The 19,924-nt window shown below is 44.7% G+C and overlaps 1 protein-coding gene, 1 long non-coding RNA gene and 1 pseudogene across 5 annotated transcripts in view; 2 read left to right on the forward strand and 1 right to left on the reverse strand.

The window, feature by feature from the left end:
- Positions 1-4,461, forward strand: part of SLC5A4-AS1 (SLC5A4 antisense RNA 1) — a 68,501-nt gene extending 64,040 nt beyond the window's left edge. The window contains exon 4 of the long non-coding RNA NR_149072.1: positions 203-4,461. This is a non-coding gene — a long non-coding RNA (SLC5A4 antisense RNA 1). The remainder of the gene's footprint in view (positions 1-202) is intronic.
- Positions 1-19,924, reverse strand: part of SLC5A4 (solute carrier family 5 member 4) — a 136,600-nt gene that overhangs the window by 50,691 nt on the left and 65,985 nt on the right. The gene's annotated exons all lie outside the window — the stretch shown is intronic.
- On the forward strand, positions 227-4,040 carry CPSF1P1 (CPSF1 pseudogene 1; annotated as a pseudogene).

Consider the following 19,924-nt stretch of genomic DNA (forward strand, 5'->3'; position numbering starts at 1 on the left):
TGCTGGGATTACAGGCGTGAGCCACCACGAGCGGCTGCATGTTTTTTATTACTTTTTTAGCATGTCTACAGGAAAATTTAAAATTATACATGTGGCTGTCATATTTCTTTGGGTGTAGCACTGACCTAAAACATAACTTCTCAAGCTTGTTTATATTAAATCACCTGGAGATCTTTTAAAAATCCGTATTTTGATTCCATAGGAGTGGGCTGGCCTGTCCTGTAGAAGCTACCTCATCGATGTGCAGGCCCTGGATGAGAAGCTGCTCATCATCATCGCCCTGCAGTTCCTGCACGGCTACTACAAGCCCATCCTGTTCGAGCCCAACCAGACCTGGCCCGGGCACGTGGCTGTGTGGCAGGACACGTGCTCCATCGTGGCCATCTTGCTAACATCACGCAGAAGGTGCACCCCGTCATCTGATCTCTCACCAGCTACCCTTTGACTGCACCCAGGCTCTGGCCGTACCCAAGCCCATAGGTGGGGTGGTGGTCTTTGTCGTCAGCTCGCTGTTATACCTGAACCAGAGCATTCCCCCGTACGGTGTGGCTCTCAGCAGCCTCACCACAGGCACCGCAGCTTTCCCGCTGTGCACCCAGCTGGGTGTGTGAATCCCCCTGGACTGCGCCCAGGCCACCTTCATCTCCCATGACAAGATGGTCATCTCCCTCAAGGGCAGTCAGATCTACATGCTGACCCTCATCACCGATGGCATGCGTAGCGTCCGAGTGTTCCACTTTTGACAAGGCGGCCACCAGCGTCCTCACCACCAGCATGGTCACCATGGAGCCTGGGTACCTGTTCCTGAGTTCTTGCCTGGGCAACTCTCTCCTCCTCAAGTACACCGAGAAGCTTCAGGAGCCCCCGGCCAGTGCTATCTGTGAGGCTGCTGACAAGGAAGAGCCTCCCTCACAGAAGAAGCGAGTGGACACATGGCCAGCTGGTCAGCCAGGGACAAATCCGTGTCACAGGACGACATGGACGAGATTGAAGTGTACGGCAGCGACGCCCAGTCGGGCACACAGCTGGCCACCTACCTTTGAGGTGTGTGACAGCATCCTTAACATTGGACCCTGCACCAATGCTGCCATGGGTGAGCCTGCCTTCCTGTCTGAAGAGTTTCAGAACAACCCTGAGCCGGACCTGGAGATTGTGGTTTGCTCCAGCCACAGGAAGAATGGGGCTCTGTCGGTGCTGCAGAAGAGCATCCAGCCCCAGGTGGTGACAACCTTTGAGCTTCCCGGCTGCTACGACATGTGGACAGTCATCGCCCTGGTGCCTAAGGAGGAGAAAGAGAATCCCAAGGGGGAGGGCACGGAGCAGGAACCCAGCACCCCCGAAGCGGACAATGACCACCGCAGACAGTGATTCCTGATTCTGAGCCAGGAAGACTCAACCATATTCCCGCAGATGGGGCAGGAGATCATGGAGCTGGACACCAGTGGCTTTGCCACGCAGGGCCCCACGGTCTTTGCCGAAAACATCGGGGACAACCACTACATTGTCCAAGTGTCGCTGCTGGGCATCCACCTGCTGGAAGGAATGAATCAGTTGTACTTCATCCCTGTGGGCCTGGTCACCCGCAACATGCAGTGCACTGTAGGCAACCCCTGCGTGGTCATCATGAGTGCCGACGGCCGCGTCACCATGTTCCTGCTGAAAAGCACACTCCTATAGTGGCTGCCACGACCACCTGGTGCTGCACAAGCCCCCGCTGCACCATCAGCCCAACGTGATCACGCTGTGCCTGTACCGAGACCTCAGTGGCATGTTCACCACTGAGAGCTGCCTGAGCGGGGCTCACGATGAGCTAGGGGGCCACAGTGGCTTGGAGGCCGAGAGCCTGGGCTCGGAGACTAGCCCCACAGTCGGTGATGAGGAAATGCTGTGTGGGGATTTGGGATCCCTCTTCAGTCCCAGCAAGGAGGTGGCCCGAAGAAGCAGCCAGCCCCTGCCGACTGGGACTCTGTACCCTTCCAGACAGAGCCCATCCACTGGTGCCTGCTGTTGCAGGAGAATGGCACCATGGTGACCTGCCAGCTCCCCGACTGGCGGCTGGTGTTCTTGGTGAAGAACTTCCCTGTGGGGCAGCGGGTCCTCATGGACAGCTCCTTTGGAGAGCCCACCACACAGGGCGAGGCCCGCAGGGAGGAGGCCATGTGCCAGGAGGAGCTGCCTCTCTCGTCAAGGAGGTGCTGCTGGTTGTGCTGGGCAGCCGCCAGAGCACACCTTACCTGCTGGTGCATGTGGACCAAAAGCTGCTTATCTACAAGGCCTTCCCCCACGACTCTCGGCTCAGCCAGGGCAATCTCAAAGTCCACTTTAAGAAGGTCCTTCACAACATCAGCTTCCGTGAGAAGAAGCCGAAGCCATCCAAGAAGAAAGCAGGTGGCCGCACAGAGGAGAGGGTCGGGCCCGGGGCCGCGTGGCGTGTTTCCACTACTTCGAGGACATTTATGGCTACTCAGGAGTGTTCATCTGCGGCCCCTCACCTCACTGGCTCCTGGCGACAGACTGAGGGGTGCTGCGGCTGCACCCCGTGGGCATCAATGGCCCTGTCAACTCTTTCGCTCTGTTCCACAATGTCAACTGTCCCCGCGGCTTCCTGTACTTCAACAGACAGGGCAAACTGAGGATCAGCGTCCTTCCTGCCTACCTGTCCTATGATTCCCCGTGGCCTGTCAGGAAGATCCCGCTGTGCTGCACGGTCCACTGTGTGGCTTACCATGTGGAGTCCAAGATGTACGCTGTGGCCACCAGCACCAACACACTGTGCACCTGCATCCCACATGACTGGCGAGGAGAAGGCATTTGAGACCATTGAGAGAGATGAGCAGTGCATCCACCCCCAGGAGGCGGCCTTATCTATCCAGTTCATCTCCCTAGTCTGCTGGGAGGCTATTCCCAATGCCAGGATTGAGCTGCAGAAGTGGGAGCTTGTGACCAGCACGAAGACAGTGTCGCTGCAGCAAGGAGACCAGGTCAGGCTTCAAAGGCTACGCGTGGCCGCCGGGACCTGCCTCATGCAGGAGGAGGAGGAGGTCATGTCCTGAGGGCGGATCTTGATCATGGATGTGACTGAGGTGGTGCCCGAGCCCAGCCAGCCCTTGACCAAGAACAAGTTCAGAGTCCTTTACGAGAAGGAGCAGAAGGGGCCCGTGACTGCCCTGTGCACTGCAAGGCCACCTGGTGTCGGCCATCAGCCAGAAGATTTTCCTGTGAAGCCTGCGGGCCAGCGAGCTGACGGGCATGGCCTTCATGGTCGACAGGCAGCTCTACATCCACCAGATGATCAGCGTCAGGAACTTCATCCTGGCAGCCGACCTCATGAAGAGCATCTGGCTGCTGTTACCAGGAGGAGAGCAAGACGCTGAGCCTCGTCATGTGATGCCAAGACCCTGGAGGTGTACAGCGTGGACTTCATGGTAGACAACACCCAGCTGGGTTTTCTGGTGTCTGACCACGACTGCAGCCTCATGGTGTACATGTACCTGCCTGAAGCCAAGGAGAGTTTTGGGGGCATGTGCCTGCTGCGCTGGGCAGACTTCCATGTGGGTGCCCACATGAACGCATTCTATAGGACCCTGTGCCAGGGAGCCACTGAGGGGCTCAGCAAAAAGTCAGTGGTGGGAGAATAAGCATATCGCGTGGTTCGCCACCCAGGATGGTGGCATCGGGCTGCTGCTGCCCATGCAGGAGAAAACCTACTGGAGGCTGCTGATGCTGCTGAACGTGCTGCCACACCACACAGGCCTCAACCTCCGCACCTTCCGGATGCTGCGTGTGGACCTCCGCACCCTCCAGAATGCTGTGCTGCAAGCTGCACGGGGAGCTGCTCAACCGCTACCTGTACCTGAGCACCATGGAGCAGCAAGCTGGCCAAGAAGATCAGCACCATATCCGACATCATCCTGGATGACTTGCTGGAGACAGATGGCGTCACTGCCCACTTCTAGCTCCATGGATGTCGCTGCCACCACCACACCGCACTACCTCCCACCACCTTTTTTGAACAAAACACAAGGAATATATACTTTCTGGAAGACCATCTGATACTATGTATCAAGAATCTCAAAAATATTCATATACTATAATGCAATAAGGCCATTTCTAAAAATTTACCCTGAGAAGATAATCCAGACCTGTGCTACAATTTCCATTACAGAGACATCTGTTGTAATATTGTTTACGGAAGGGGGAAACAGAAAACAGCCTCCATGTCCACAGAGGAATGATTAAATATGTGGTACACCTACAGGCTGGAGTGTAAAATGGACACAAAAACAAGAAGAAATGCTCATGAGAAAACACAGTGATAGACGCCTTTTCTAAACAGTTTCTGCTTTGTTTGGGGTAAGTGTTCCACCTTTACCATCCCTAAATGCTCTAGTATAGTATAGTCTTAATCACATGTTTATTTGTATGCATCTATTATTACTTTATAAAATCTTTGAAAACCAAGTCTGTATCTGTCTCATCACCACTGCTGGCACAGCTCACAAGTATTTGCTGAGTGAGTTATTTAATCAGAAGTTACAAAACCAAACCAAACCTTATTTCCTTTTTGATTCTTTCAACTACCTAACTCTACAGCATACGGCACTATTTCCTAAACAAGAGAAAGCAAAACAAACAAACAAGCAAACAAAAACAAACAAACAAACAAACTCCAAATACTTTAAATGCTATTACAGATTATAAAATTACAACACTGCAGACTTGGCAGAAGGAAAGATTTAGATTTCAGAAAACATACACAAGTCATTTGGTAGAAGGCCCAGGGATATGAACAGATACTACACGCATGAGAAAATATCATGAGTAAAACAAGTACAGAAAACTGTACAAAACAGTGCCACTTTTGGCATGTTAACATTTGATATTCTATTTTTTTTTTTTTTTTGAGACAGAGTCTCGCTCTGTCACCCAGGCTGGAGTGCAGTGGCGTCATCTCGGCTCGCTGCAAGCTCCACCTCCCGGGTTCACACCGTTCTCCCGCTTCAGCCTCCCCAGTAGCTGGGACTACAGGTGCCCGCCAACAAGCCTGGCTAATTTTTTTTGTATTTTAGTAGAGACGGGGTTTCACTGTATTAGCCAGGATGGTCTCGATCTCCTGACCTCGTGCTCCTCCCGCCTCAGCCTCCTAAAGTGCTGGGATTATAGGCATGAGCCACTGCGCCCGGCCCAACATTTGATATTCTTATTTAAAAATGGAAATGCCAAATACTGTTACAGATATGATGAAATAGTACCCCTCATAGTTTGTTGTAGATATTATAAATTGGCACTGTTCTTAAGATAATTATAAGTTAAAAAAAGAAAGTTCATGGCCCACTTACACTCTACTGAGAAGTGAACAAAAGAAACAATCTCGAGTATGAAAAAGCTTATGCATAAAAACAGCTCAAAATATTATTTGTGATAATAAAAAGTTGAAAAAAAATCCACACCATGAAATATTAAATATCTTTTAAAACAGTGGCCAGGAAGCCTATGAGCCACCTGGGAAATGCTTCTGAAATAATTTTAATTAGATAAAAAGCTCCAAAATAGAACATGTGCTGCGATTAAGTTTATCTTAAAAAGACAAATTCAGAGGTGACACCGGAAAGAAATATACCAGAACATTAACAAGAGTAGAGTTAATACATGATTTTATACCTTATCCCTACTTTCCATAATGTGGTTACACTATTTTTCCAATGATTTTCTTAAAACTGAAAAAGATTTAGAATGCTTGTATCCTGGCCTTTCTTTAAAGTTCAGTTCAACTTATGAGTCCTTGAAAGCTCAGCTTCCCTATTCAAGCTCTTTCTCTAGTCAGTCTTCATATCATACAATTCACAACTTCATTAACTCACTTGTTTGATTTTATAATTGTCTAACACTGTAACATACAGTTCTTATTTTATAGCAGCTTATAACTCTATTGTACACCAGTAGTACACTAATGGCTCTCTCTGTGTCTGAAAAGTTCTGTGGATGCTGGAGATACAAAAGAAAAATCGACTCTTGATTAATTGAATCAAGGTGCATACTCTGAACAAAAGGGGACCACAATTTTTTTTAACTTTATTTTTTTATTACACTGTAAGTTTTAGGGTACATGTGCACAACGTGCAGGTTTGTTACATATGTATACATGTGCCATGTTGGTGTGCTGCACCCATTAACTCGTCATTTAGCATTAGGTATATCTCCTAATGCTATCCCTCCCCTCACCCCATGACAGGCCCCAGTGTGTGATGTTCCCCTTCCTGTGTCCATGTGTTCTCATTGTTTAATTCCCACCTATGAGTGAGAACATGCGGTGTTTGGTTTTTTGTCCTTGCGATAGTTTGCTGAGAATGATGGTTTCCAGCTTCATCCACGTCCCTACAAAGGACATGAACTCATCATTTTTCATGGCTGCATGGTATTCCATGGTGTATATGTGCCACATTTTCTTAATCCAGTCTACCATTGATGGACATTTGGGTTGGTTCCAAGTCTTTGCTATTGTAAATAGTGCTGCAATAAACATACATGTGCATGTGTCTTTATAGCAGCACGATTTATAATCCTTTGGGTATATACCCAGTAATGGGATTGCTGGGTCAAATGGATTTTCTAGTTTAGATCCCTGAGGAATCACCACACTGACTTCCACAATGGTTGAACTAGTTTATAATCCCACCAACAGTGTAAAAGTGTTCCTATTTCTCCACATCCTCTCCAGCACCTGTTGTTTCCTGACTTTTTAATGATCGCCATTCTAACTGGTGTGAGATGGTATCTCATTGTGGTTTTGATTTGCATTTCTCTGATGGCCAGTGATAATGAGCATTTTTTCACGTGTCTTTTGGCTGCATAAATGTCTTCTTTTGAGAAGTGTCTGTTCATATCCTTCGCCACAATTTTTTTAAAGATTTGCAGTTATATATCAAGTTACTGTTTCCTAATATATAAAAGCATAAATGTTTTAGTTCTATAAATAGTATTACAGATTTATTTCCTTTCAAAAGCCATACATTATGACACTTTCTTTTGTAAAATGTAGATGAATAAATCAGATAAAGATAATCTTCCTATAGGACTTTATCTCTTAAGACAATCAATATTTTGTATAAAGTCTGTATAGCTGCATTAATAATCTGAGCTATCAATGAATGTCATCACAGGCTCAGGGAGAACATAACGAAAACTTACTAAATTAGTATCTGCTGGTTTGGTCTCTGTGCAAATTGAATACGGCTGACAAGGCATTTAGCTTTGTATTATAGTTTGCTAAGCAAAGGGACAATGGAAAGAAAATTTCAAAGGGAAACGTTTAACCAACTTTAACCAAGAGAACAAACTATTTTCAAGTATTGCAATAGCTCCATTTGCATAAAAATAATTAGGTGCTGATTAAAAATGAATCTTCTTTATTCATTAAATCAAGGGTGCATTGTAAGAATTTAGGATTACTATTGCCATATTTCTATATTATAATATAACTACATTTCTTTTAAATATCCCGTAATTCTGAATATTCACTAATTTACACAGACAACCCTCCAGGTCATCCAAAATGGAAGCTGAATCATAACAGGTGGACTACGTTTTGTAAAACTGATTTGACACTAAGAAAACTTACTGATTGAAATGACTGAACTCTGCTCTTTCAAGATATTCCTTTTAATTTTTTTGGCAAAGCTAGATATACTTTTTGATTTGGAATAATATATCTCAATGAATTCATTAATAAGGTCATATAGTTCATTTGTATTCTGATTCTAGGTATAAATTTTCACTTTTTAGATTTTCTTAAGTTATAATTATGCTTATAATTTGTTTTGGCATCTCTTATGACTATCAAACTGATGATTTAAAATACTTATTCCCAATGTAAGTGACATGATTTACTCACACTACATTATGAAATAATTTTTTCATTCAAAATTAAACTTCAGTTGTCCTTCTCTTTCTCTCCTTTTCTAATCCAACAAATCAGATCTATTTTTATATTTGTTTATATTTTTTAATCAACTACACATCCCTTTAAATCTGTTTATTGCTTTAGAATTTGAAGGTTCAAAAAAGAGAAGGGCCTATTAAGAAACTGTACAGAAGTTAGTACATATTTCTGGACACTTTCAAACATGTATTTCCTTAAGTCAACCTCTGAGTGTGATCTTTTAATAAAACTCATGAGTCTCCCGGAAATGATAGGTTAGAATAGAAATTATTTTAACTTCTGCTTTCTTATATGGATTAAAAACTTGTGCATAATCGAATTCATAGATTCTAATATAACAAAATTATCCTGAAATTTCACTAATAAAGGGGGAAAACTGTGAAGGATTTTAAGCTCTCATGATGTTCATCACTCTTGAATAACAGATGCTCATAGATTTCCGGTTTTATGTATTTACTTATTTATTTTTTTTGAGATGGAGTCTCTCTCTGTTGCCCAGGCTGCAGTGCAGTGGCGCCATCTTGGCTCACTACAACCTCCGCTTCCCGGGTTCATGCCATTCTCCTGCCTCAGCCTCCCGAGTAGCTGGGACTACAGGTGCCCGCCACCATGCCTGGCTAATTTTTTGTATTTTTTAGTAGAGATGGCGTTTCACCGTGTTAGCCAAGATGGTCTCGATCTCCTGACCTCATCATCTGCCCGCCTCGGCCTCCCAAAGTGCTGAGATTACAGGCGTGAGCCACCGCGCCCAGCCCGATTTCTGGTTTTATTTTAAAGTTCTATTTCAAAGGTCTAAATCTCAAAGAAAGTCTATCTTAAAATTGAATTAGGCAACTCATAAAAACTTCCATGACATTCATATCACATCTTCAGAGCTGTGGCCCACAGCTGGTTAGGCAGGGGGAAGGGAAATGAAAGCAGACAGCTTTGGTGAAAGAAAGAGGTTTAGGGCCCCACTGGATCATCTCTTATATGGGACTACAAGAACTCCCTGGGTCTAGGTCACTTAGCGTGTTAGGGTCTACTGTGAAAAGACTTTGAGAACATCTCTCTAATTTTGAACTATGACAACTAAGTTTCCAAAAGGGAGAACCTAAACCTTAGACCCCAAATGGCTTTACAAAATCATTTGAGCTGTGAATAATCTCATAGCATAATGGTGAATCCCTAGGTTTAGTCTAACTTCGATCAAGATTCTGTATTTGGGCCAAAATTCAAACTGTTTATGAGTGGTGTTTATTCACTTTGTTTTTCTATTCATTGTTTGTTATAATATGCACATTTCTTACCCTCATAAAGATGTAAGCAAGGACAAAATTCAAAAGCAAGAAAAGAATTCTTCAAAGTTAATAGAATATATCCCTGTCTTTACTGAGTTCCAGAAAATGCTTCAGGATTCACCCCAAGTCAAGCTGCTGATTTTTTTGTTTTGTTTTGGTTAGAAAATTTCAATCTTAAATAAAAATGGATCTTTAAGTTTTGGGAAAATATTCTGAAGTTTCTCTAAATCAAACAAATATTTGAACTGTGACGTGTGTAAGATTTTAAAAAATACTATATTCAAAGAAGAATGGACCAAAGCATAATTTAAAATGAATTCAAGGAACGCAACAAAAAATAAAAGTCCTCGAGACCTAAAATTCCTCCATAATCAATCAGAATTTTCTACATTGTAGTTAAATGACATTTTAGCAACTTCAGAAAAGAGAAAGACAGTAAGCAATACTATGAAATGGATAAAAAAAGAAGAAAACAAGATTACAGATCAAGTCAGATACAGTTCTTACAGAGAAGAAAATATTTATAATTTATCCCTCAAGATTTAGAAAACATTTTTCATTTCTAGAAGTTAAATACTAATAGAGAAAATATCAACATATCATTTAAAACTTGCTGCTATAGGCCGGGCGCGGTGGCTCACGCCTGTAATCCCAGCACTTTGGGAGGCCGAGGCGAACGGATCACGAGGTCAGGAGATGGAGACCATCCTGGCTAACACGGTGAAACCCCGTCTCCACTAAAAATACAAAAAATTAGCCGGGCGTGGTGGCGGGCACCTGTAGTCCCAGCTACTCAGGAGGCTGAGGCAGGAGAATGGCGTGAACCCGGGAGGCGGAGCTTGCAGTGAGCGGAGATTGCGCCGCTGCATTCCAGCCTGGGCGACAGAGTGAGACTCCGTCTCAAAAAACAAAAACAAAAACAAACAACCAAAAGAACTTGCTGCTATAAAATTAAATTGTTAAAAAGTTTATGCCCTGTGCTTAGCAGTAGGTAGGTTGACATCAATGAAAGAAGTATGCTGAATAATCGCTGAGAGCTGGAGAACTCAGTAGTGGCACAACCAAGGAAGAGGCTGCAATGAAACAAAGCAGGTCATCTGCCAGTACAAGAGACACAAAAAAAATGTTAGTGTAGGGCCGGATGTGGTGGCTCACGCCTGTAATCCCAGCACTTTGGGAGGCCGAGGTGGGCGGATCACCTGAGGTCAGGAGTACAAGACCAGCCTGGCCAACACGGTGAAACACTGTCTCTACTAAAAATACAAAAATTAGCCAGGTGTGAGGGCAGAACCCTCATGATCCAATCACCTCTAAAGGCTCCACCTCTCAACACTGCCAAATTGGCAATTAAGTTTTACATGAGTTTTGAAGGGGGTTATATTCAAACCATAGCAGTGGGCCACTGTGACCTCAAGAGCCTCCTCAACATGTCTGCCCTCTGTGATCCCAAGCCCACCCAGACCCTCCTCCCAGCACCACTCAGAGCAGACAGGAAGGCCAGAAGACCTAGAGTCGGTGGGGGTGGGGAAGGTGGGGAGGTGACCTGGGGGAGGGGCTGCTCAAGGGTGATGCACACCTGGACAGGTGGCCCATGCCCTGCGACCAAGTGCCCAATTGCCTTACTCCAGTTTTTTGTTGTTGTTGTTTGTTTGTTTGTTTTGAGACATAGTCTCACTGTGTTGCCCAGGCTGGAGTGCAATGGCACGATCTCTGCTCACTGCAACCTTCACCTCCCAGGTTCAAGTAATTCTCGTGCCTCAGCCTCTGGAGTAGCTGGGATTACAGGCATGCATCACCATGCCTGGCTAATTTGTGTGTTTTTAGTAGAGACAGGGTTTCCCCATATTGGCCAGGCTGGTCTTGAACTCCTGACCCCAAGTGATCCACCCCCCCTCAACCTCCCAAAGTGTTGGGATTACAGGCGTGAGCCACCGTGCCCAGCCCTCCAGTTTTTGATCCTGGGACTGACTCTTCCCCAGTGAGAATGTCAAGGGTGCCTGCCCACCTCTGGGAATTCCCGTCCCTCTGTTCAGAATGCTGCCCTCACTTGGACCCACACATAGAGCTCCTTCCTGTCACCCAGCTCTCAACTTAGTCGACACTGCTCAATGTCAACTAATGCAAAAAGCCCCCTCACCCTCTCCTGTGGCCTTGTGTCCTCTGCACTGCTAAGCACGAGCTGGACTCTCCTCCCTCCCTCTCTTCCCTATGCTGCTGTGTATAGGTTCCTGTTTGTCTCTCCACTGAGGGCAGGGACTCTGAAGGACCAGTTCATGGCATCCCATGTCTAGAAAACTGCTCAACACATTACAGGAATTCAAGAAAGAAGTTTGTCAAATGAAGGAACTTTCTAACATTCTGAACCAACTAACGACGGGCATGGACCACTTGGTGGTAGTGAGCTCCCTGCCATTGGTGGTATTTAAGCAGTAGTTGGATGACACTCGGAGGGTGCATTAGAGAGACAAACTCAGGAGGTACGGTTCAAGCTTAGGGCAAACACAGATCCTTCCCAGGGTCTCTGACCATTCAGGGTCCCCTTCTCTGCTACCATCTTGCCCTGAGACCCTGGGGGACGCCTTTCTTCTGAGCCCCAGTCTCTCAACAGTTCTAGAAAACAAAAGGTGGCAGCATCTATTTGGCTGAGCCACCCAGAAGGAAAAGGCTGTGGAAGGAAAGACCAATATTTATTCATTATCATATTCCGAAATTAGACTGGGGAGCCACAAATAGACATTTCTAACAAGAGCCCGTCTGTCCCTGCCTCTCAGGCTCATCCTGCACACTCCTCATTCATGTCACGTCTTGCTGCCTCCCGCACTGGGGGTTTGGCTTGAATATTTGCCAGCCACTCGGTTATTTTCTGGGGTGATTCATGGGAAGGTGGGACGTCCAGCTGCGGTTGGAATGTTCTTTTAAAACAGCATGTGCTGCTCCCAACGGGGCCGCATCTGAGCAAGGCACAGGGCTGCTCTCCTCTGGGGTTGGGCGTGCAGGGGTGGGGAGGAGCCAAAGCATGTGCCACTGACTGGAAGGGGCCCCATCAAAGCCCGGGCTTCACCAGGGAGCAGTCTGTCTGTTTTGTGCACTGCCACAGGTGCTCCACTCCTAGCACCAGCATTCATGCACCCATTGTTTCTCCATCTTTATTTTATTTTATTTTATTATTTTTTGAGATGGGGTCTCACTTTGTTGCCCAGGCTGGAGTGCAGTGGTCCAATCACAGCTCACTGCTGCCTGGAATTCCTGGGACTACAGGCATGTAACACCACACCAGGCTAATTTTTACAATTTTTGTAGAAACAGGGGTCTCATTATGTTGCCCAGACTTGTCTTAAACTCCTGGTCTCAAGCAATCCTTCCCGCCTCAGCCTCCTGAAGTTCTAGTATTACAGGTGAGAGCCACTGTACCCTGATTGTTCCTCCATCTTCAAAAGCAGTCTTGATCTCTACTCCTGCCCTCCGCTTTCATGTTTGTTTGTTTGTTTTTAATGGAGTCTCGCTCTGTAGCCCAGGCTGGAGCGCAGTGGCACGATCTTGGCTCACTGCAACCTCAGCCTCCTGGGTTCAAGCGATTCTCCTGCCTCAGCCTCCCGAGTAGCTGGAATTACAGGCATGTGCCACCACGCCTGGCTATTTTTGTATTTTTAGTAGAGACGGCGTTTCACCATGTTGTCCAGGCTGGTCTCAAACTCCTGACCTCAGGTGATCTGCCCGCCTCAGCCTCCCAAAGTGCTGGGATTACAGGTGTGAGCCACGGCGCTCGGCCACTTCCGTGTTTCTTTCCCCCTCTGGATAGCAAAGCTCTTTGTAGGAGCGAAACTCCTCTCCGTCTTTCTTGAACACCCCCCTCCAGCACACTCTTGACCTCATGGATTCCCTGAGGCTTAATGAAGTCAGCAGTGACCCCCAACCCAAAACCCAGGGTCGGCTGGCAGACATCGGCTGTCTGAGCCACCCACTGAGTCTGACTCTGCTGGCTAGTCTCTCTCTCCTTGCTGGCCTCTCCTCACCTGGCTGCCAGGACTCTGCTGCTCTCAGCCTCGCTCCCACCTTCTGGTAGTTCCTCCTCACTCCCTTGCTGGCTCTTTTTTGTGAACTTGACCTTGAACATGTTGGCACATTCTGGAGCTCAGTCCTTACTGTACCTTGTTTTATTACCCTCTCATTCCCTTACTGATCTCATCCTGCCTTGGGCTTTTAAATGCCCTCCAGATTCCAATGACTCCCATGTACGCCTCCAGCCTGGACCTCTGTCCTGACTCCTGACCTCCAACCAGGTTTTCAACGTGGATGTCAAAGATACCTCTGCTCACATCCAACACGTCCAACACTGAACTCCTCATCTCCTCCCACCTCCCTGTCTGGGTTGGTGGCTGCCCTGTCTTCCCCATGGCTTGGGCCAGGAGCCTGTGTTTGTTCATGGTTCCTTTTTCTCCTGCACCCTACATCCAATCTGTCAGGAAATTGTCGTTCCATTGCCCCAGCGCATCCGGGATCTGATGGCTTCTCTCCACCCGGCCCCGTTTCCATCCTAGTGCAAGCCACCTTCATCCTCGCCTCTGCAGTCTGCTCTCAGCACTGCAGTCAGAAGAAGCCTTTACAACGGTAAGCCAGATTATGCTGCTCCTCTGCTCAAACCTTGCCGAGCCTCCTCCTTTTCACCTGAAATGCAAGCCAGCGTCCCTCCTGGATTCTGCAAAGCCCCAGATAATTTGACTGGCTCCCTGCACCTTCTCTAACATCCCCTCCTATTGCTCCTTCTGCATTCTGCAACCCCTTCACTTTCTCCTGTTCACTGGGCTCTCAGCCACACTGCCCTCTTTCCCATTCCTCCAACCTGCCAGGCACACACCTGCCCCAGGGCCTTTGCACTTGCAGTTCCTTCTGCTCAGATGCTCTTGTCTCAGATATTCGCTGGGCTCACACCCTCACCTCCTTTACCTCTGTGCTTACCTTCTCCATGCAACCCCTCTCAACCAACTTATTTAATAATTCAAACTCCTCACCTGTCCCTGCTTCACAATGCAACAGCTACAGACGTGACACACTTTAAAGTTGAATTTGCACCATTAACATTTTCTCCATCACTTGCTTAAGTCTAGACAATCAACAAAACAATCAATCAGGCCCTGATGTGCATTGTTTGCCAATTCCCATGGTATATATAGTTCCACCAAGGCCAATTTTAAACTACCTATTTGACACCCCTGAACACAGTCTTGGAGAGAGATGCACAGAAGTTCACCATTACATAGTATTTTGTAATAAATGTAAGTCACCCTAGGAGCATCAATAATAGTAAAATGAGGTAAGATAATTAGGACTTGATTACTCTGAGTATGCATTACCTTTGTTTTTAATAACATGTACTTAATTGGAAGTTTGTGTAATTTAATTTTTTTTATTGGCTGCATTTAACAGCTAACTCACAAAATTCCTAAAAATTAACAGTAGACTTTCACCAGCCAGTATATGCTGGCTCCAGCACACCCCTGAGAATGGTTGATTAATATGGAATGGCCATGCTGTGTAATTTTATGCAACTATTTAAAAGAATGAATTGGAGCTCTATAGGGGATTTGGAGGAATTTTTACAAAGAATTGTCAAATAAGAAAGCAAAATATAGAACCACAGAATCATTTTTATAACACAATGATCCCCCCTCAATAAAACCCTCTCTATATGTGTCTGTACACATTAATAAATAATTGCATAAGTATCCAGAATCAACTTGATTTGGGGGCATAGGATGTGATGTGTGGGAGGGAGAAAAGGAAGCCAAGCAAAATAGGAAAACAGAACCAAAAAGACTGCCAGGAAAGCAAACTATACAGATGGTAACACGTTTTGGCATTTAAGCATAATATGTGTATGTATTTGTTCATATCATTAAAATAGATTTTTAAACCAAGTCCTCATTTGGACAGTTGTTCAGGTTATCTATTGCCATATAACAAACCACCCTAAAACTTAGTAGTTCGAATTGCCAATAACCATTCATTATGACAAGCCTGTGGGTTGCACATGTGGTGTATCTGCTTCACATGGTGTTGGGATACTGGGATGGCTGCAGGGTTCAACATTACCTCCCTCACATGGCTGGGGGTTGATGCTGGCTGCAAGCTGGGAGCTCAGCTGGGCCTATCAGGAGGGGACCTGAACTCTCCTTTATGTTGACCTCTCCACGTGGCTACTTGGCCTTCCTCACAGTATGGTGACTGAGTTCTAAGAAGAAGCACTCCAAGAGGCAAAGGCTGGAGCTGCGTCATTTCCACCATATTCTATTGATCACAATGATGACAGGGTCAGCTCAGATTCACGGGGAGGAGATACAACATTCACCTTTCGATGAAAGTGGCAAGATAATATCACAACAGTGCATGTGGTAAGGGAAATATTGTGGTAATTGTCTTTGGAAACACAAAAGACCACAATGATCCAAGCCCTTGATCATGTGGCCATGAAATCTTCACTTCTGTGGGGTGAGGATCCAGCAAAATCCTCAGTGACAACCCCCAGGAGGGTTTTCTTCCAGGTTGACTAAGTTGTCTGTGGGTAACATTTTGTTATATTTGTGTATTGGTTGCAACTATCAATTGGCTGCAGATACAAGACTTTGGCAAAAATCAAAAAAGCATTTTGTGAGAATCAGTTGAATATATACATTTTATAAAACAGTATCATATATTTTATGATTATTTGTAAACTTTGTGCCACAAATCTTTTAGTGTTAATAAATTTTATAATAAAAGTAGATGTGTGTGTATATATGATATATATATGCGTATATACGATATATGTGTGTATATGCATTTTTCCCCTGTAGCACACCTCTAAGTCTTCCTCTATTGATAAGCATCATTTTGTTTCTATTCTACCATGGAATTCCATTTTACTCATGCTGGGTTCAAAGTGTATGTGCATTTTTAATTTTAATAGATATTTTCAGATTGCTTTCAACAGAAGGTATAGTTCTCATTTCTAGCAGCAGTGCATAAGAGTACCCTTTTCTCACACAGCTGCCAACAATAGATTTATAGATTTATTTTTTGCTGTCAATTTGTGCATGTTCTCTGTATCTTAAATTTCAGCCTTACAAGTGGCTATGCATTCCAAATCTCAATTATATATTGACTTTACATCATCTTTTGTCATACAAAAATTAATTTTTGCATTACCAAATGTTTATCATTTCTTCTATAGTTTCCGGGTATCTGGTCTTGGTTAGGAACCTGTCCCTTTGTTGAGAGTGTTGATATAACCCTTCAGAATTTCTTGCTGAATTTTTATTGTTCTATTTAAGCCTTTAATATAAATCTTATTTTCTTTTTTTATTTTTATTTTATTTTATTTTTTATTTTTATTTTTATTTTTTTTGAGATGGAGTCTCACTCTGTCGCCCAGGCTGGAGTGCAGCGGCGCGATCTCGGCTCACTGCAAGCTCCGCCTCCCGGGTTCACGCCATTCTCCTGCCTCAGCCTCCTGAGTAGCTGGGACTACAGGCGCCCGCTACCACGCCCGGCTTATTTTTTGTATTTTTAGTAGAGACGGGGTTTCACCGTGTTAGCCAGGATGGTTTCGATATCCTGACCTCATGATCTGCCTGCCTCGGCCTCCCAAAGTGCTGTGATTACAGGCGTGAGCCACCGCTCCCAGGCCTTATTTTCATATATGGCTAAAACAGGAGTCCAATTTTATTTTTTTTACTGGCTAGGTAGCCTGTTATGCCAGTTAAATATTTGTGGTTTAGTGAAAACCAAAATAATTATGTATTAAATAATAATTCCCCACTGTATTGAAATGCTACTTTTGTTGTATTAAATTATTACATATACTCACATATATTTTATATTCTAATCTGTCACTCTTATGCCAATGACATATTGATTTGGTCATAGTGTTTTTGTAGTATGTTTTAATTTGTGGGGTTTTAGGAAGGCAGTGTACAACGCTATTTCTGGAATGAGGTCATGAGGAGTGCCTCCTTTATTCTGTTTCCCTTTCCATGACATTCACTGCAGGGAGGCTCTGTGTTGAGATTGTGGAGACACAAGATGAAAGTAGTTGGATCCCTGCATCACTTTATGGAGGAAAGTTTCTTGCCTGGAGCTTTGCCTGATTGCATCATCTTTGTATGAGCGATAAACAACCCTTTGTTTTTTACCTCAGCATAGCCTATCCTGTCCCGACTAATCATTGGTGCTGCTGTATCAAAAAGCCAAAATATACAGCATTAGCTTAGTGGCTGGTGATGTGTGCCAAGGACACTGATACTGGAGGCTGGGGCATGGCAGTCTGTACTATTAATGGTAACACACTTGTTAAATGGCATACTTGCATTAAGAAGGCTAAGAAAGAAGGCTATTGTAAGCATATCTTGGCTGTTGTCTTCATTCAACAAAGCCTTACAAGAAATAAGTGGCTAGTTTGTGAGCAGCAATAAAGGAAATAGAGAAATTCCAGAAAGTTAGGGCTTAGCAAAATTAAAAAGCTGTCTGCTTCCAGATGCCAACTAACTTGATACAGGATTGACAACACCATTGAGCAACAAAGGCCCAAATTACCTCAGGGCAAAAGGCAGATTAAAAAGATCCAGATAGACTCAAGGTAAGTGCCATGATATTGTGTGTGAGAGAGACGGGGGAGCAAAGAAGGTAAATAAGTTGAGATCTACATCTGAAAAATAACTTTTGGGGGAGTTACGGTACAGGGAACTCTTTGGAAACAAATTAAAAGCAGACTAAGTTTTTAAGGACATTGTATTACAAAAGAAACCCACAGTTTGAACTAAAAAAGGCTCGGACTATTCATGACTTAAAACAAGCTATGGCTCCCTAATTTTCCATGGGCCAACAGCAGCTGAGTTTCACAGTCCAAACACAGCATATTCTTCCACGTCCATTTCAGATGTGGCCAAGGAGAGTGATGGAATGACAAAAGGGCCAGGGAGAACAAGGAACAAGGGACTTCTTCCTAGAGAAGCTTAATGAAGAAACCTTCTCTAACGAGGGTATGAGCTTTCACAATGTCTACTCAGAAGGATTTCAGAATTGTTACCCCTACCTGTCTTCATTCTCTCCGTTTAAAAGTGTTTATTGCAGTTGTCCTAACCCTACTTCATCATTGAATATCGGGTCTATATAGGAGGCAAGTAATATGTCTCTTCTAGTTTATAACTCTCCAGACCAAGAAGAAGCAGGTGTAGACCTGATGGAGGGCACTAGGCAGTTCACTTGAAGACCCTCAATTTCTTTTTGTTTCTTTCTTTTTTCTTTTTCTTTTTTTTTCTTTAGAGATGGGGTTTCATAATATTGGTCAGACTGGTCTCAAACTCCTGACATCAGGTGATCCACCTGCCTCAGTCTCCCAAAGTTGTTGGGATTACAGACATAAGCCACTGTGCAGAGCCTAAGAATATTTCAAAATTGTTACCCCTATCTGTCTTCATTCTCTCCATTTAAAAGTGAAAGTATTTATTGCAGTTGTCCTAACCCTACTCCATCATTAAATATTGGGTCTGTATAGGAGGAAAGGAATATGTCTCTTCTAGTTTAGAAATCTCCAGACCAAGAAGAAGCAGGTATAGACCTGATGGAGAGCACTAGGCAGTTCACTTGAAGACCCTCAATTTCTTTCTTTCTTTTTTTTTTTTTTTAGAGATGAGGTTTCACCATATTGGTCAGGCTGGTCTCAAATTCCTGACCTCAGGTGATCCACCTGCCTTGGTCTCCCAAAGTGTTGGGATTACAGACATGAGCCACGGTGCCTAGCTTAAGAAGACCCTCAATTTCAAGCTGGATTTGCTGACAATTTCAAGTGAGGTTTTCTCTCTTGAGAAAGTGAGAGTATGTTCTACATATGGGAAAAACAATGACCAGAGGGGCGCACAGGAAGATTACACTTCCTACTACCTGGTAGTTAGGTGGGGCCATGTGACTAGTTCTAGCAAATGAAATGTGAGTGGAAATGCCATGTACCACTTCTGGGCCAAAGTTTAAAAGTTGATGTGTTTCCCTAACACTCTGTCTTTCATCATGGTGACCTTGGAGGCCACCAGTGAGGTGATGGTGGACAGGATGAAGGATGCCTAGAACTAAAGGAGTTTTCACCAACCCACATTAGATTTTGCATGAATGAGATAACATATTGCTTTCTCTGTCTCTTTTGTTTTTTTCTTTTTTTTGTTTTTGTTTTTGAGTTGGAGCTTCGCTATTGTTCCCCAGGCTGAAGTGCAATGTGCCTCACCACAACTTCTGCCTCCCGGGTTCAAGTGATTCTCCTGCCTCAGCCACCCGAGTAGCTGGGATTACAGGCATGCACCACCACGCCTGGATAATTTTTTATTTTTAGTAGAGACAGGGTTTCTCCTTGTTGGTCAGGTTGGTCTCGAACTCATGACCTCAGGTGATCCGACCGCCTCAGCCTCCCAAACTGCTGGGATTACATATTTCTTAATGTTTAGCTACTGGGAATAATTTATGTTAGATTATTTTAGGTTTTCTACCTATATGATCATATCATCTGTGAAAGGTGATGTTTGAAAATTTCTTCCTTTTTGATCCTTATACCTTTTTTTTCTTGTTTGTGTCTTGCTGTACTGCCTGGGACTTCATAGTCAATGCTGGGTAGCAGTGATGACAGCTGGGACCATGGGCTTGCTTCTTACAGGAAAGGAAAGCTTTCCGTATTTCAAGTATTGAG

This window comes from Homo sapiens, chromosome 22 (assembly GCF_000001405.40).
Source record: "Homo sapiens chromosome 22, GRCh38.p14 Primary Assembly".
Taxonomy (NCBI): Eukaryota; Metazoa; Chordata; class Mammalia; order Primates; family Hominidae; genus Homo; species Homo sapiens.